This window comes from Homo sapiens, chromosome 3 (assembly GCF_000001405.40).
Source record: "Homo sapiens chromosome 3, GRCh38.p14 Primary Assembly".
Taxonomy (NCBI): Eukaryota; Metazoa; Chordata; class Mammalia; order Primates; family Hominidae; genus Homo; species Homo sapiens.
Window position 1 is genome coordinate 55,818,608 of NC_000003.12, and position 19,421 is coordinate 55,838,028.

A 19,421-nucleotide genomic window follows, 5' to 3' on the forward strand; every position below is an offset into this window, starting at 1 on the left:
AGTGACCTAACTATCTTGACTTTGTTCTCCACTTCTGCAAGATGGAGGCATTGACACCACCAACCACAGAGGGGTGCTACGTGTGTGCAATGTGACAAGGCAGCTGAAGCACTTAGCACAATGCCTAGCATTCACCAATTGTTAGAAATGCTTCTTATTTTTAAAGTGCCTCCAAACTCACTACATAGATTCACTGGCAACAATTCAGCAAAGAAACTTCTAATGGATTCAGAGAAGGAATACGTTTAATATTTTCTAATGGAAAGCATTTCAGAGTTAATGTATATAACTTGTTTCCGCAAGTCCACAAGTATCTTTATGTCTACTTGGGCACATAGGAAGGAACAAGCTTTTACAGATACCAGAGTACCTTGCAAGATTGGCTGGCACTGGTGCAAGCTAGTGTGGGTCACTCCATAGAAATTCATTTTTCTGCACTAGCTCTTAATGGTCCTTCTCTGCTGGGCATTTTCGGCTATGGTTTAAAGTAAATGCATTCAAATAAACATCTTTTGGTGCCAGAAATGCCATGGGCACATACTTTTCTTTCAATGGTCCTGGGAAGTGGTTTGTTAAACTATTGTTCTCGATTAAAAACTCGTGTGTTTGTTCAGTCCAATATGGGTCACCGCTTTGAGTGAAAGATCCCTTGACATGGCAAAACCTCGACTTGTGACAAGCCAGTGCCAAGTATGTCTTAACCAGATGCAGGCCAGGGTTTGATTAGCAGCCACTGAATTCCATGTAAAATCAGATAATGATGGTTTTTCGCCTTTCTGTTGAGCAAATATCCTCAGCTTTTAATCAAGTCTATACATGAAAACTCCTCTATAAATAACTTTATGCAGTACAATGGTTTTAAAACTATGGTTCATCTCAACTTTCCTGACCTTTGACTGCTTAATCTGAGAAGAACCTGTGCAATACCAACTAAAAATAAAGGAACTACACTATTTATTTTGGCAGATTCCATAAAGATATAATAGAGGGACATGTGGTGAGTGGAAATTCTCTACCACACACAGAGAGAAAAGAAAGGAAAGGCTCTGGAGCCCATTTTTGTTCTCCCACTTGTGGGATAGCATCTATTAGACAATGATGATATTAGGACGGCAGAGACAAGTGCCGCTTTGGAATGCTGCACCAGACTCCATGGCCATGCACAGAAGCCTTCTCTGCCCCGTTTGATGTCCAAAGGGTCCAACTCAAACCTGGGAAACATGAACCTTTTCAGAGAGGCTGGGGTCTCAGCCTGGGCTTCCTCTCCTTTCTTGTGGGTACAATTTGGGCATCTGAAGTTAATTACTTGCAGGTGCATTTTGGCTGCGTGCAATGGAGGGGGGTTCCCAATTAGCCTCTTGCAGGTGTAATTAGCAATTTCACCTCACTTTGAGGGGGCAAGTGGATAATTGTGCCCATGAGGTTGTTCCTAAAGGGGTCTAGCAGAATGCCCATTGCAGACTGCTGTCTGGAGAATAAGCTCCATGAAATGGGATGCTGAGCATTCAGGAGTAAGTGTCAGGTGTCCACGTGGGGTCTAGAAGTGGAGCCCCACATGGAGGGTGGGGTTAGGAGTTCCTTCTGGTTCTTCACATCCATAAAAGAGAGTGGAGCCACAAAACAGCATTGAGAAACAAGGACCTCAGGCAGACTCTCTGAGGCATAAGGGAGTAAATACTTTGGCCTGATGACATTGAGTAATGCAAGAAAAACTAGCTCAGAACGGGAGTGGACCAGAACTACAGAATTAACATTTTGTAGAACAAAAAAAGCAAAGCAACTCAGTGAAAATAAATTATTATTAACTTTGCCATAAGCCTTACACTTAAAGTGTTGTCACAGAAATCAACTCACGTGAGCTCATAAACTTAGTTATAATATTCAAAATTTTAATAACAACACTTACTGAGCACTTATGGTGTCTGACCTTATTCTGAAAGCGTGTGTGTATTCAACCGATGCTCTTAACAGACTGCTTTAAAGACTCGCTCTACCCATTTTAAAGAAGATAAATTGAGGCACAGGGAGATCAGGTAGCATACCCAAGGTTACACAGCGAGTAAGTAGTGGAGCCAGATCTCCAAGCCGGGCAGGGCACCAGATAGGTCACTACTCTGGGTGAGAAAATGTTCAAACAAGAAGATGGAATCAGGGAGTTGAGGCTTGCTCTGCAGGATGCATCTATACAAAATCATTAATTGCTTCATTCATTTGTTCAACCATCTGATCACTCAAGGAACATTTAGTGAGCCCTGGGCCAAGCTACTGCGCTGGCATAAGTGTAACGGAGAGGGAGACAGCCTTCTTAGCCCCAGTGTCAGGCTAATGTTTTATAACTTGAAGGTTTCCTTGGCTGCTTGTTCAGTGTTGGGAAGAAAAATGGGAGAGAGCAAGAGAAGAAGGAAGGAAACAGAATGAGGAAAAGAGACAGGTATGAAGGGTGCTAGAGCGTGTGAAGAAGGGGTAAAAAAAAGAAACCTTCAAAATGAGTTTTTCTTCTGAAAATGAATCCTTTTATGAGGGGGAGAGGAGAAACCACATCAACTGAACAGTGAGATTAGACTGATGAATGTGGAGGAGAAACCCTACTGTTCCTCCAGATGATTGCTTGCTTTAACAAGAATAGGTGTGCAATAGGACTGCCAAAAGTTATTCCCCATGTTAAAATCTGAAAACCAAAATGACCCCATCTCTGGCTCGCCGGCCACTGTGGTCTGTAGAGGGGCTAATTCTGAGCACTTGAGTTCTGGGAAACCCATCAAACACGTGGAAATGAGCTTGATGAGAATCGCTAGATGTGAAGGGGCTGAGTGCTACTAAGACAAATTCCACTGCCCCATTCCCTTACTGACCAACCACCTATATTTTATCATTTTTATTGAAGCACACTTTACCAGCGTCATTACATATTAACCTGTGTTGAGATTGAAACAGAAGATTCACAGTGATGCACCCTAAAGGATGTGCAAAACTTGAGAGAACACCAGGACCAAAAGAAACCTAACTTGTTTTCTGACAAAGCTGATGGTCATTCTAACAAGAGCTGATGTAGCATGCATGCAAATGTCTCACAGGGACCACCATTCAGTCCTCATGATGAACTTATGAACAGCTATGACTCCATTAACCTAATAACACCTAATACATACATATTGAGAGCTTCTGTGTGTCCCACACTGTGCAAGGCCCTTTATGGAGACTATCTGATGATGGAGAATATCTCTCAATAATCAGTAGATTACCATAGGCTGGGGCTCAGAGAAGTCCCACACCTTGCCTAAGGTCACACAGCTGGCAGGTGTCAGGACAGAGAGAGAATGTGTACATTCAGGTGTGTTCATGCTATGCTCCCAGCATTCACATGGAGTTGGTTAAAAAATGATCTTTCCTTTGATGTTTCCTAAGACTTCATTTAAAACTTCAGATTTTTTTTTCTTTTTCTGAGAGGGTGTAAAGGATATTTTCACTGTAAAAGTCCCCTTTGCTTTACTGGTTTCATTAAGTAGCTGGGCATTTATTCTATTGGCTTATTAAAGCCTTGCAAGTGTACATTTTTAAATGTTCTGAGATTTGAAATTGACATGGTGCAGTTGTTCAAGAGATTGTGAACTTGGCATAGCGTTAGTCATCAAAGAAGTTTTGACTTTGGCATGGTGATAGTCTTCCAAAATATTTCCTTTTAAGATCCTCACTTATTCTAAAAAGACTTAAAATCAACTAACACATGGGGCCTGTTTCTGAAATTTATGTTGCTACAATATAATCTTCAAGTTAGTCCTTTAGGGCTAAGACCTGTTACACCCCTTAATTAAATTATCTTGTTTTATTATGTACAGCAATGAAAGTAGGGACTCGGTGACCCACTCAGTGAGCATGCTTAATTGGTTTTTTCATCCTCATCATGGTTCTTATCACCAGCTGGACTGTTCTGACTTACAAGAATTTTTTTTTCTTTTTTTTCTTTTTTTTTTTTTTGAGACGGAGTCTCGCTCTGTCGCCCAGGCTGGAGTGCAGTGGCGCAATCTTGGCTCACTGCAAGCTCCGCCTCCTGGGTTCACGCCATTCTCCTACCTCAGCCTCCCCGAGTAGCTGGGACTACAGGCACCCGCCACTCTCCTACCTCAGCCTCCCGAGTAGCTGGGACTACAGGCACCCGCCACTATGCCCGGCTAATTTTTTGTATTTTTGGTAGAGACGGGGTTTCACCGCGTTAGCCAGGATGGTCGCGATCTCCTGACCTCGTGATCCACCCGCCTCGGCCTCCCAAAGTGCTGTGATTACAGGCGTGAGCCGCCGCACCGAGCCCCAAGAATTTTTAATAGCCATCATGCTGCCTAGACTCGTCATGGCAAACCCCTTCTTCTTTTTCTTCATTCGCCAATCACACATGGCTTTGCCAATATCATCTGGGCTAAACTAATGAGGTCAGGAATTGTGCAGTGCCTTTCATTTCTATTTTAAAAGACATGAAGGAGTCATTTGGCCTCTTTGTGCTGAGTTAGTAGAGCAAAACTGGGTCCACTCAATTACATTTTAAGTCCATTGTAATTGAGCTGGCTTCATGAGAGAGCTGGCCTCATGAGAAAGCTGGCCATGGGCACTCACCCATCTGAGTGATTTGAAGTGACCTCAGAGAGTTCACTTGCTCCAAGGCTTTAAATTCCCATCATTCAAGCTGGACCACATGCAATGTTCTTTTAAAATCCCAATATCCTCCCAGAGGGAGTACATTTTCTGCCTTCATAGTGTTCACCTCTTGTCTTTGTTATCCCAGTACCCTTCATACTTTGGCAAATGGCCTTCCTACCATACCCTGCTGTCCTGGTAAACATCTTAGGCATGGGTCCCCCTCCTCCCTGTCTCAGGGTGGGCATTTTACCCAGCCTGAGTCATTCATAGTGCATGCCCCTCCTCCTCCTCACCCCCACAACAAATGATTGGTTTAGACATGGGCTTTGAGAGGGACGGAGAAGGAAGTCAATGACCTGGCCTACTGGAATTGAGAAGCTTTCTCTAAATCCATAGATGAGTAGCCCAAATGCAAAAGAGGGGACACAGGGTATGGCAGATACTATAACATACTACTTACTAAACTCATTTTTTCTTCTTCCTGGTTTCATTTTCCAGATCCCATCGCTCCCATAGGGAGCCATATGACTGACTTCTGTTTAATGAAGAGTGAGTGAAAATGACGTGCCCCACTTCCAGTACAGCCCTCAAATTCCCAATTGTATTAGTTTACTTGGGCTGCCATAACAAGATACCACAGACTAGGGGACTTGAACAACAGAAACTTATTTCTTCACAGTCTGGAGGCTAGACATCCAAGATCAAGGTGTCGGCAGATTCAGTTTCTCCTGAGGCCTCTCTCCTTTGGCTTGCAGATGGCCACCTTCTTGCTGTGTCCTCACATGGTCTTTTCTCTGTGCACATGTAACCCTGCTACCTCTATGCATGTCCCATTTTCTTCTTCTTCTAAGGATGTCAGTCATATTGGATTAGGGCCCTCCTGAACAAGCTAATTTTAACTTAATTTTCTCTTTAAAGACCTAACCTCTAAACACAGTCATAGTCTGAGAGACCAGGATTTGGGCCTACAACATAGAATTGAGGGGGTGGCCAAAATTTTGCCTCTAATACTATTCGTGATTCTCCAGGCTCTCTCCATTTCTACCATCTGGATATCAACACACAAGTGGAACTGGAAGCTGTGAGTTGAAGATGGCCAACCTTCCATCATCCAGGCCCCCATAACACCCATGTCAGAACAGAGACTCCTGTTAACCTGGACCTTCCTTGGACTGTTTATATGAGCAAAAATAAACTCCCATATGAGTAAGAAAAAAACTCCTGTATGTTTTAGCATTTATACATTTTTGGGTCTATGTGTTAAAGCAGTTAGTTGACTCCAACTAATATACAGGGCAAAGCATTTTTTGACATTTTGCCAAAAGTCAGCCTGGGTGGAATGATTATTTATGTTGAGGATTCTGAGAGTTCCCACAACACTTTATCACTTCTAGTGTTATCACATGGTTTACATCAGTGTTTCTCAAAGTGTTGTAAAAGTATGGATTCCTGAGCCTCAACCCACATCTGCTAATCAAAATTTCAGTGCCTTTTGGGGGCCCTGCATTTTTAATAAGCCTATATGTCACTCAGATGCACATTAAACTTTAAGAAGCATTGGCTTACACTGTGGATCCCGTTCTAAATTTAAATGAACATTGAATGGGTATAGCAAAGCTTCTCCTGCCCAAACGTGGTTAGCCGTTGAGATAAGTGTTTAGATTTTCTCCACAAATTACAGAACATGTTCATTCATTTTTGTTTCCTCTCTATTTTAGATAAGCCAAATAACTCATTTTTCCCCTTAATCATCACTATTTTATGATGATTTACCACCAAATTGAGGTCTCAGGTAGAGTCACCATTTTTTTTATCATGATGTATTTTAGTAACTTTCAATTAAAACTAGATTTACAATTGACACAGAAGTTCACCCAGGGAGTACCACAGGGCAAGAACCTGGAATTCTTCCTTGTGTCTTCATTTCAAACTGTGAGCAGGGTTGCTTAGTTCTCAGTGTTAACAATTTCAGATCCAGGCTGAGGAAGAGCAGTCAATTACCCTGAAAAATACTCCTCCTCCATTTTATACCTGAGTCTTGGGCTGGCATTTTCCAACATGTGACAGTAACTCCTTAGGGTTTTAATTACTAACAAATAAAACGGTTATATGGTCAAAGTAATTGAAAAATACAATATACAGTTTAACAGATTTCTTTATCTAATGATTATGATCTGAACCTCCAAGGGTACAACACAATGTCCAAATTTTCCAGACTTGCCACAAAGAGTTTGTGTGTGCATATGTTTGTATATCTGGATGTCTGCATAACTATTTAAAATATCACTATTCTTCAGTACACAAATATCCATCTAAAAGTCACTAATAATTTTTATTTGAGATAATATCATGGCTGTTTTTTTCAATGGACATAGTTACTTCTGAATTTTTTCTAACATTAGAACCATTATTAATGTATAATCATCCTTTAAGTCCTGTGATAATTTCAGCCATCTCTCAAAAGTATTTTACCCTCTGCTGAGAAATTAATATTTCATCTGTGGTGATATTACACTAAAGTTAATATAAAGTTATGAAAACTGAAAAACTACTATATTTGCTAGTATTAGTATCATTATTGTGTTTGTTGTTTTTGTTTTAATTATTATTATTTATAACATCATTATTCCTATCTCTACACCTCTTTTACATGTTGGATTCTGAACATTTTTCTTTCTGGGGAAGTTGAAGTTAAAAAAAATTAAAAACAAAACAAAACAAAAGAAGGAAGGAGAAAGGAAGGAAGGAAAGACAGAGGGAGGGAAGGAGGGAGGGAGGGAAGGAAGGAGGAAGAGAGGAAGGAAGGGAGGAAGGGAGGGAGGGAGGACATATTGCTACAAAAACCGCAGAGCTTCACAGAGTCCTTGGTATCTCATGAGTATAAAGGTGGTTGTGAACAGCAATAAAAGCTACTTTAACTGAAGCAATACTGGCAAATTACAAAGTTGGGTGGATGGCAAACACCAGCACACTTGTCTTCATTCTGTCCTCTTGTGCCATAGCAGGAAAGAACAATCAATCCAGGACAGCTCTAGTGTACTTGGCCTCAAAATGACTGTGAATGCAGTGCTCCAGGAAGCCACTACAGAACAGTCAGAATTAGGGCTCCAGCTGACCTCTATTACTGAGTAGTTGTAATTTCCAGGAGTCTACCAGAATCTGGACTCAGAATACCTTAAGTTGAAGCCTATTTGACACTGGCAAATGAAGTAACTTCCCTAAGCCTGAATTGCCCATCTAACAAAAAGGAATGTTAACAGCGTATATATTATAGGTTGTTGTGAGGTTAAAACGTGAACTAGTTCTTGTAATGCACATAATGCAAAGCCTGACAATAATCATTGTTTAACAATTTCCATTCATTGTTTACTGTATCAGATATACCACCCTCCCCATTTTACAAAAGGCTAAAACAGACCCAGAGAGTGTCTTAAACCATGCCAAACTAATGAAGTCTAAATTCCTGATTTCCACTTCAGTTTTTTCTCCTCCATATTCATTCGGTAGAAAGTCTGTTTTACACTTATTTATCTATTTAGAAGTGTATTTGTTGTCTTACTTTGTCATAACTATTTGGATAATTCCAAAAAGATTTAAAATAGCTTTCAAATGGAAGACTGGCGAGGCACATTGTGCTCTGGGAGGGGTTCCAACTCTCCTGCCCAATTCTCCTGGAGGGCAGTGGTTATCACTGAAGAGCCGGCTGAAGTGAGAGGCCACCAAGCAGAGCACAGCCTGTTTCATTTTAATAGCAGCCTCACTTTACTTCTTACTGACAATGCCCTCCTTTACATTAGCTATAACCTCAGATGGCTGCCTTAACAAAAGGAAGTAACACGGTCTAATTGTTCTGGATTTATCTGTAACAACTCCCTCTTGAGTAAGGAGCATTCTTTCGGTATTCCTGCTGCATGTGATTCCTGGCCTTTTTCCAGTATATTTAGTCATTCCCTCATTGTAAGGAAAGAAAATAAAGGAAGAAGAAAAGAAAAGAAAGAAAGAGGGAGAAAGAGAAAGAAACAGAGAGAAAGAAAGAAAGAGAGGAGAAAAAGAAAAAAGGAAGAGAAAGAAAGAAAGAAAGAAGAAAGAGAAAAAGAAAGAGGGACGGAGGAGGAGATGAAAGTAAGAAGAAAGAGACAGAAAGAAAGAAAAAGATAAAGAGAGAAAAAGAGAGAAAGAGGGAAGAAAAGAGAGGGAGGGAGGGAGGAAGAAAGGAAGAGAAGGGGGAAAAAGAGGAAATGATAGTCACATGGTCATAATCAACCCCTACCTTGCTTCTACAAATGCTATATCTGATAATTCATAAATGCCACTGCACATGTGGGTAAAGATGTTGATTGAATAATCACTACACAAATTTAATCAGTCTGTTTTTCATGGGGAAAACTTGGGCACAATGTAAATCAAGTTGTTGTTTGTTGTTTTAATATGTCTATTTCCCATATAATGAGCAGAAATCTTCCCTGAAACCATGATCCTACCTTTCCCATGGTACCTGGGTCCCTGTGAATTCTACATCTCTTCATCCTCCACACTGACAAACGCTTGGACTTAAGCCTTCAAAAATGCCAGTAACTGTATGACTAGTAAACCAGACATAGAAAAGTACTACAACCCATGATAAATACAAAGCCCCTCATGAGAGACTGTCATTTGGGATATTCACAAAACTGTTCCACTCAGCAGCAACGTTGAGAAGCCAGACAACATCGCCTGTGTTCAGCACGTCCATCGCCACTGCGGCCAAGCCGATGGAAACCAGCTGGAAAGTTGTCAGCCATTTTAAACACTCAGCTAGAGTCACTGTCGTGCTACCAACTGTGACCGTCTGGAAAAATCACGTAAGTACAAAGAGGCACGAAAGAATAAATTCTGAACTCCACTTTTAAAGAACACAGGGAAAGCTGCACAATGGCAGGCAGCATTTAACTCTTTAGGCCCTGAGACTTCCATTGCTGGCCATGGTGGAGTGGCCCACCACAGACCAGCTCTCTTACTCATTACAGCTAAACATTCCGGACAAAATACAAACGCAAATTCCTGAAGGCTCCAAAAGTGATGTGCCAGGAGCAACCACAAAATAAAAATTCCTGGGGAAACCTGTCTTTCTGGCCATAGACCTGGGGAAAGAGACCCCTGAGGTCCAAAGAGTAGGGGAGAAAATCCCTATTTTGTTCTTCCTTTTTTCTCCTCCAGCTTTGCCTAAAGGCGGAGTGTAGCTGGCAGCAGGGGCAGCAGGGGCAGCAGGGGCAGCAGGGGCAGCAGGCAGTTAAACCCCCAAGAAAAATCCCGTCCTTCTATTAGAGGACTGCAAAAGAGGGCCCTGTGGGCTGCAGACTGTGAAGTGAATCCTGGAGGGAAAAGAGCTGAAGATGAAAATTTCATAAGTTCATGTATGAGCTTGCAAAATGATCAGTCTCATCCCTAAGCTGTGCATGTGTACAATAGATCTAAAGACTTGAAAACTTAATGGACACTGAGACAACTACCACCAAAGGTAAGACAGACTTGTGGTAGGAACCTAACCAGGTTGACTGCTAAGAAAAAAAAAAAATTCAATATTCTCTACAGGATTTTAGCAGGACCAAGAGTCTAAACTACACAATGTTCAAAATATTCAGGCCTGGTGAGGTGGCTCATGCCTATAATCCCAGCACTTTGGGAGGCTGACGTAGGCAAATGACTTGAGCCAAGAATTCCAGACCAGCTTGGTCAACATAGTGAGATCCTGTCTCTATAAAAAAATTAGCTGAGTGTGATGGGACATGCCTGCAGTCCCAGCTACTCAGGAGGCTAATGTGGGAGGATCGATTGAGCCCAGGAAGTTGAGGCTGCACTGAGGCATGATTGTGTCACTGTACTCCAGCCTGGGCAACAGAGCAAGACCCTCTCTCAAAAAAAATTTAGAATCCTTGACATATAAAAAATAGGAAAGTGTAACCAATTTTGAAAGGAAAAGATGATCAACAGATGCCAACCCCAAGATTACTCAGATATTGACAATATCAGACAAAGACTTTAAAGCAACTATTATAACTATGCTCCTAAGATAAAGATTGATACATTTCAAATAAATGGAAAGATCGATCTCAGAAGAGAAATAAAAAGAAAATATACAAATTTTTAAAAATTGTTGGATATCTCAATAGCAGAATGGAAACGGTCATGAAGTCATGAAACTTGAAGACAGATCAACAGAAATCATCCAATCCAAAAAATAAAAGTGGAGAAAAAAATTAACAAAACATAAATAGAGCCTCAGAAACCTGTAGAACAATATCAAAATATATTTTTTCTTTAATGAGATGGGGTCTCCCTCTGTCACCTAGAGTGCAGTGCATAATTACGTCTTACTGAAGTTTCAACCTCCTGGACTCAAGCTATCCTCCCATTTCAGCTATCAAAGTGGCTGGGACCACAGGTGTGCACCACCACATCCAGTTAATTGCTTTTTAAAATTTTTTGTAAAGATGGTGTCTCACTATATTGCCCAGGCTGGTCTCATCTCAAACTCCTGGGCTCAAGTGATCCTCCTGCCTCAGCCTCCCAAAGTACTGAGATTACAGGTATAATACACCACACCTGCCCCAAAATATCGAACATTTGTGTCATTGGAATCACAGAAGAAGAAAAAGAGTGCAGTGCTGAAAAAATATTTGAAGAAAAAATAATAACTGAAACTTCTGAAATTTGGTAATAGACATAAATATACAACTCAAAAAGTAGAGCCAACTTCAAACAGGAGAAACAAACAAACAAACAAAAAAACCCACCTGCAGCTACATCCAAATCAAACTGCTAAAAACAAAAGGTCAAACAAACAAATAACAAACAAAAATAGGCTTCAAAGCAGTTACAGAAAAATGACGTTACACAGAAGAAAACAATGACTGAAATGACTGTGTACCTCTCTCAGAAATCACTGAAGACAGAAAACAATGGAACAATTTTTTTAAATCCTGACATAAAGAAACTGTCAACTGAGAATTCTACAGCCAGCAAAAATATGCTTCAGGACTGAAGATGAAACATGATAAAGGCAAATTCAGAGAATTTATCAATGGCAGACCTACTCTAAAAAAATGATGTTAAAAAGTTGCTCAGACTAAAGAGAAATGCAGAAATTCAGAAACGAAGGACATTCAACAGCAACTGCAAATATCTTGGAAATATAATGGACTATTTTTCTCCTTTTAGGGCCTTCAAACTACGTATGATTGCTAAATGTAAAAATGATAATATTGTCTTGGGAGGGGGTTTCAATGTACATATATAATACATTTGACAAATAGGAAAGTGAGGATAATTATAAGGTTGTGAGGTTTCTCAATTTACTTGAAGTAGTAAAATATTAACTCTAAGTAGACTATGAAAGGTTAGGTACCTGTATAGTAATCTCTAAAATAATCACTAAAAATGCAAAGAGGCTGGGTACAGTGACTCACACCTATAATCCCAGAACTTTGGAAGTCTGAGGTGGGAGGATGACTTGAACCCAGGAGTCTGAGATCAGCTTGGGCAACATAGCAAGACCCCATTTCTAAAAAATTATAAAAAACTAACCAGGTATGATGCTATGTGCCTGTAGCCTCAGCTACCTGAGAGGCTGAGGCAGTAGGATCCCTTGACCCCAGGAATTTGAGGCTGCAGTGAGCTAGGATTGCACCACTGAACTCCAGTCTGAGTGGCAGAGTGACACCCCATTTCTTTAAAAACTAAAATAAAACAAATAGATATAGTCAAAAGTCAATAGATAAATTAAAATAGAATATTAAAAATATTAAAATAAGGTAGCTGCAGTGGTTCACACTTGTAATCCCAGTACTTTGGGAGGCCAAGACAGGAAGGTTGTTTGAAGCCAGGAGTTCAAGACCAGCCTAGGCAACATGACAAGACCCCTCTCTACAAAAAAAAAAAAAAATTTAATTAGCCAGGCAGGGTGGCACAATGCTGGAGTCCTAGCTACTTAGGAGGCTAAGGTGGGAGAACTGGTCAAGCCCAGAAGTGTAAGACTACAGTGAGTTGTGATGGTGCCACTGTACTTCAGACTGGGTGACAGAGCAAGATCTGAACTTCGAAGGAAAGAAGAGGGGAGGGGAAGGAAGGGGAGGGGAGGGGAGAGAAGGGGAGGGGAAGGGAAGGGAAGGGAAGGAAGGGGAGGGGAGGGGAGGGAAGGGGAGGGGAAGGGAAGGGAAGGGAGGGAAGGGGAGGGGAGAGGAGGGAAGGGCAGGAAATCCAAATAATCTAAAATAAGTCTCAAAGGGGAGAAAGAGGAACAAAATTAAAGGAGGCAGGGGAAAACACATAATAAAATGGTAAACCTAAATAAAATCATATCAAGGATTATAATAGTCTAAACATATCAATTAAAAGACAGAACCTGGTCGGGCAGCCAAGATGGCCGAATAGGAACAACTCCGGTCTACAGCTCCCAGCATGAGTGACACAGAAGATGGGTGATTTCTGCATTTCCATCTGAGGTACCGCGTTCATCCCACTAGGGCCAGAGAGTGGGTGCAGGACAGTGGGTACAACGCACCGTGTGTGAGTCGAAGCAGGGCGAGGCATTGCCTCACTCGGGAAGTGCAAGGGGCCAAGGAGTTCACTTTCCTAGTCAAAGAAAGGGGTGACAGACGGCACCTGGAAAATCGGGTCACTCCCACCCGAATACTGTGCTTTTCCAACGGGCTTAAAAAACGGCACACCAGGAGATTACATCCCGCACATGGCTCAGAGGGTCCTACGTCCACGGAGTTTCACTGATTGCTGGCACAGCAGTCTGAGATCAAACTGCACGTCAGCAGCGAGGCTGGGGGAGGGGCGCCCGCCATTGCCCAGGCTTACTTAGGTAAACAAAGCAGCCTGGAGGCTCGAACTGGGTGGAGCCCACCACAACTCAAGGAGGCCTGCCTGCCTCTATAGGCTCCAACTCTGGGGGCAGGGCACGGACAAACAAAAAGACAGCAGTAACCTCTGCAGACTTAAATGTCCCTGTCTGACAGCTTTGAAGAAAGCAGTGGTTCTCCCAGCACACAGCTGGAGATCTGAGAACAGGCAGACTGCCTCCTCAAGTGGGTCCCTGACCCCTGACCCCTGAGCAGCCTAACTGGAAGGCATCCCCCAGTAGGGGCAGACTGACACTTCACACGGCCGGGTACTCCTCTGAGACAAAACTTCCAGAGGAACGATCAGACAGCAGCATTCACGGTTCACGAAAATCCGCTGTTCTGCAGCCACTGCTGCGGATACCCAGGCAAACAGGGTCTGGAGTGGACCTCTAGCAAACTCCAACAGACCTGCAGCTGAGGGTCCTGTGTGTTAGAAGGAAAACTAACAAACAGAAAGAATATCCACACCAAAAACCTATCTGTACATCACCATCATCAAAGACCAAAAATAGATAAAACCACAAAGATGGGGAGAAAACAGAGCAGAAAAACTGGAAACTCTAAAAAGCAGAGCGCCTCTCCTCCTTCAAAGGAACGCAGTTCCTCACCAGCAACGGAACAAAGCTGGACGGAGAATAACTTTGACGAGTTGAGAGAAGAAGGCCTCAGACGATCAAACTACTCTGAGCTACAGGAGGAAATTCAAACCAAAGGCAAAGAAGTTAAAAACTTTGAAAACAATTTAGACGAATGTATAACTAGAATAACCAATACAGAGAAGTGCTTAAAGGAGCTGATGGAGCTGAAAGCCAAGGCTCGAGAACTACATGAAGAATGTAAAGGCCTCAGGAGCCAATGCGATCAACTGGAAGAAAGGGTATCAGTGATGGAAGATGAAATGAATGAAATGAAGCAAGAAGGGAAGTTTAGAGAAAAAAAGAATAAAAAGAAATGAACAAAGCCTCCAAGAAATATGGGACTATGTGAAAAGACCAAATCTACGTCTGATTGGTGTACCTGAAAGTGACGGGGAGAATGGAACCAAGTTGGAAAACACTCTGCAGGATATTATCCAGGAGAACTTCCCTAATCTAGCAAGGCAGACCAACATTCAGATTCAGGAAATACAGAGAACACCACAAAGATACTCCTCGAGAAGAGCAACTCCAAGACACATAATTGTCAGATTCAACAAAGTGGAAATGAAGGAAAAAATATTAAGGGCAGCCAGAGAGAAAGGTCGGGTTACCCACAAAGGGAATCCCATCAGACTAACAGCGGATCTCTCGGCAGAAACTCTACAAGCCAGAAGAGAGTGGGGGCCAATATTCAACATTCTTAAAGAAAAGAATTTTCAACCCAGAATTTCATATCCAGCCAAACTAAGCTTCAGAAGTGAAGGAGAAATAAACTCCTTTACAGACAAGCAAATGCTGAGAGATTTTGTCATCACCAGGCCTGCCCTAAAAGAGCTCCTGAAGGAAGCACTAAACATGGAAAGGAACAACTGGTACCAACCACTGCAAAATCATGCCAAATTGTAAAGACCATCGAGGCTAGGAAGAAACTGCATCAACTAACGAGCAAAATCACCAGCTAACATCATAATGACAGGATCAAATTCACACATAACAATATTAACTTTAAATGTAAATGGACAAAATGCTCCAATTAAAAGACACAGACTGGCAAACTGGATAAAGAGTCAAGACCCATCTGTCTGCTGTATTCAGGAAATCCATCTCATGTGCAGAGACACACATAGGCTCAAAATAAAAGGATGGAGGAAGATCTACCAAGCAAATGGAAAACAAAAAAAGGCAGGGGTTGCAATCCTAGTCTCTGATAAAACAGACTTTAAACCAACAAAGATCAAAAGAGACAAAGAAGGCCATTACATAATGGTAAAGGGATCAATTCAACAAGAAGAGCTAACTATCCTAAATATATATGCACCCAATACAGGAGCACCCAGATTCATAAAGCAAGTCCTGAGTGACCTACAAAGAGACTTAGACTCCCACACATTAATAATGGGAGACTTTAACACCCCACTGTCAACGTTAGACAGATGAACAAGACAGAAAGTTAACAAGGATACCCAGGAATTGAACTCAGCTCTGCACCAAGTGGACCTAATAGACATCTACAGAACTCTCCACCCCAAATCAACAGAATATACATTTTTTTCAGCACCACACCACACCTATTCCAAAATTGACCACACAGTTGGAAGTAAAGCTCTCCTCAGCAAATGTAAAAGAACAGAAGTTATAACAAATGGTCTCTCAGACCACAGTGCAATCAAACTAGAACTCAGGATTAAGAAACTCACTCAAAACCACTCAACTACATGGAAACTCAAAAACCTGCTCCTGAATGACTACTGGGTACATAATGAAATGAAGGCAGAAATAAAGATGTTCTTTGAAACCAACGAGAACAAAGACACAACATACAAGAATCTCTGGGACACATTCAAAGCAGTGTGTAGAGGGAAATTTATAGCACTAAATGCCCACAAGAGAAAGCAGGAAAGATCCAAAATTGACACCCTAACATCACAATTAAAAGAACTAGAAAAGCAAGAGCAAACACATTCAAAAGCTAGCAGAAGGCAAGAAATAACTAAACTCACAGCAGAACTGAAGGAAATAGAGACACAAAAAACCCTTCAAAACCAGGAGCTGGTTTTTTGAAAGGATCAACAAAACTGATAGACCACTAGCAAGACTAATAAAGAAGAAAAGAGAGAAGAATCAAATAGACGCAATAAAAAATGATCAAGGGGATATCACCACCGATCCCACAGAAATACAAACTACCATCAGAGAATACTACAAACACCTCTACGCAAATAAACTAGAAAATCTAGAAGAAATGGATAAATTCCTCGACACATACACCCTCCCAAGACTAAACCAGGAAGAAGTTGAATCTCTGAATAGACCAATAACAGGCTCTGAAATTGTGACCATAATCAATAGCTTACCAACAAAAAAAAGAGTCCAGGACCAGATGGATTCACAGCCGAATTCTACCAGAGGTACAAGGAGGAACTGGTACCATTCCTTCTGAAACTATTCCAACGAACAGAAAAAGAGGGAATCCTCCCTAACTCATTTTATGAGGCCAGCATCATCCTGATACCAAACCTGGGCAGAGACACAACCAAAAAAGGGAATTTTAGACCAATATCCTTGATGAACATTGATGCAAAAATCCTCAATGAAATACTGGCAAACTGAATCCAGCAACACATCAAAAAGCTTATCCACCATGATCAAGTGGGCTTCATTCCTGGGATGCAAGGCTGGTTCAATATACTCAAATCAATAAATGTAATCCAGCATATAAACAGAACCAAAGACAAAAACCACATGATTATCTCAATAGATGCAGAAAAGGCCTTTGACAAAATTCAACAATGCTTCATGCTAAAAACTCTCAATAAATTAGGTATTGGTGGGATGTATCTCAAAATAATAAGAGCTATCTATGAAAAACACACAGCCAATATCATACTGAAGGGGCAAAAACTGGAAGCATTCCCTTTGAAAACTGGCACAAGACAGGGATGCCCTCTCTCACCACTCCTATTCAGTATAGTGTTGGAAGTTCTGGCCAGGGCGATTAGGCAGGAGAAGGAAATAAAGGGTATTCAATTAGGAAAAGAGGAAGTCAGATTGTCCCTGTTTGCAGATGACATGATTGTATATCTAGAAAACCCCATTGTCTCAGCCCAAAATCTCCTTAAGCTGATAAGCAACTTCAGCAAAGTCTCAGGATACAAAATCAATGTACAAAAATCACAAGCATTCTTATACACCAATAACAGACAAACAGAGAGCCAAATCATGAGTGAACTCCCATTCACAATTGTTTCAAAGAGAATAAAATACCTAGGACTCCAACTTACAAGGGATGTGAAGGACCTCTTCAAGGAGAACTACAAACCACTGCTCAATGAAATAAAAGAGGATACAAACAAATGGAAGAACATTCCATGCTCCTGGGTAGAAAGAATCAATATCGTGAAAATGGCCATACTGCCCAAGGTAATTTATAGATTCAATGCCATCCCCATCAAGTTAACAATGACTTTCTTCACAGAATTGGAAAAAACTACTTTAAAGTTCACATGGAACCAAAAAACAGCCCGCATTGCCAAGTCAATCCTAAGCCAAAAGAACAAAGCTGGAGGCATCACACTACCTGACTTCAAACTATACTACAAGGCTACAGTAACCAAAACAGCATGGTACTGGTACCAAAACAGAGATATAGATCAATGGAACAGAACAGAACCCTCAGAAATAATGCCGCTTATCTACAATTATATGATCTTTGACAAACCTGAGAAAAACAAGCAATGGGGAAAGGATTCTCTATTTAATAAATGGTGCTGGGAAAACTGGCTAGCCATATGTAGAAAGCTGAAACTGGATCCCTTCCTTACACCTTATACCAAAATTAATTCAAGATGGATTAAAGACTTAAACGTTAGACCTAAAACCATAAAAACCCTAGAAGAAAACCTAGGCATTACCATTCAGGACATAGGCGTGGGCAAGGACTTCATGTCTAAAACACCAAAAGCAATGGCAACAAAAGCCAAAATTGACAAATGGGATCTAATTAAACTAAAGAGCTTCTGCACAGCAAAAGAAACTACGATGAGAGTGAACAGGCAACCTATAAAATGGGAGAAAATTTTCCCAACCTACTCATCTGACAAAGGGCTGATATCCAGAATCTACAATGAACTCAAACAAATTTACAAGAAAAAAACTAACAACCCCATCAAAAAGTGGGCGAAGGATATGAACAGACATTTCTCAAAAGAAGAGATTTATGCAGCCAAAACACACATGAAAAAATGCTCACCATCACTGGCCATCAGAGAAATGCAAATCAAAACCACAATGAGATACCATCTCACACCAGTTAGAATGGCAATCATTAAAAAGCCAGGAAACAACAGGTGCTGGAGAGGATGTGGAGAAATAGGAACACTTTTACACTGTTGGTGGGACTGTAAACTAGTTCAACCATTGTGGAAGTCAGTGTGGTGTTCCTCAGGGATCTAGAAATAGAAATACCATTTGATCCAGCCATCCCATTACTGGGTATATACCCAAAGGATTATAAATCATGCCACTATAAAGACACGTGCACATGTATGTTTATTGCAGCACTATTCACAATAGCAAAGACTTGGAACCAACCCAAATGTCCAACAATGATAGACTGGATTAAGAAAATGTGGCACATATACACCATGGAATACTATGCAGCCATAAAAAATGATGAGTTCATGTCCTTTGCAGGGACATGGATGAAACTGGAAATCATCATTCTCAGCAAACTGTCGCAAGGACAAAAAACCAAATACCACATGTTCTCACTCATAGGTGGGAAATGAACAATGAGATCACATGGACACAGGAAGGGGAACATCACACTCTGGGGACTGTTGTGGGGTGGGGGGAGGGGTAGGGATAGCATTAGGAGATATACCTAATTCTAAATGACGAGTTAATGGGTACAGCACACCAGCATGGCACATGCATACCTATGTAAAAAGCCTGCACGTTGTGCACATGTACCCTATAACTTAAAGTGTAATAAAAAAAAAGACAGAACCCGCCAGAGTAAATTAAAAAAACAAAACCCTACTGTGTGCTGTCTATGAGAAACCCACTTCAAATATAAAGATATACACAGATTAAATGTAATAAAAATGGGAAACATATACCATACAAAAACTAAAGGGAAAAAAAGCTGCAGTGGCTACATTAATATCAGACAAAGTCAATTTCAGAACAAACAGTATTACCAGGAATTAAAAAAAAAGAGTCCCTAGTAATAAAAGATAATCATTACATAATTATGAGGTTACAA

The 19,421-nt window shown here is 41.1% G+C and overlaps 1 protein-coding gene across 20 annotated transcripts in view, besides 2 other annotated features; it reads right to left on the minus strand.

The window, feature by feature from the left end:
- ERC2 (ELKS/RAB6-interacting/CAST family member 2) overlaps positions 1-19,421 on the minus strand; it is a 960,157-nt gene that overhangs the window by 310,297 nt on the left and 630,439 nt on the right. The gene's annotated exons all lie outside the window — the stretch shown is intronic.
- Positions 12,867-13,367: an enhancer, noted in NCBI's record as "NANOG-H3K4me1 hESC enhancer chr3:55865502-55866002 (GRCh37/hg19 assembly coordinates)". NCBI's record gives its function as "activates a minimal SCP1, AML or CMV promoter by ChIP-STARR-seq in primed H9 embryonic stem cells {active_cell/tissue: H9 hESC(primed)}" and the evidence as "EXISTENCE:reporter gene assay evidence [ECO:0000049][PMID:30033119]".
- Positions 13,368-13,868: an enhancer, noted in NCBI's record as "NANOG-H3K4me1 hESC enhancer chr3:55866003-55866503 (GRCh37/hg19 assembly coordinates)". NCBI's record gives its function as "activates a minimal SCP1, AML or CMV promoter by ChIP-STARR-seq in primed H9 embryonic stem cells {active_cell/tissue: H9 hESC(primed)}" and the evidence as "EXISTENCE:reporter gene assay evidence [ECO:0000049][PMID:30033119]".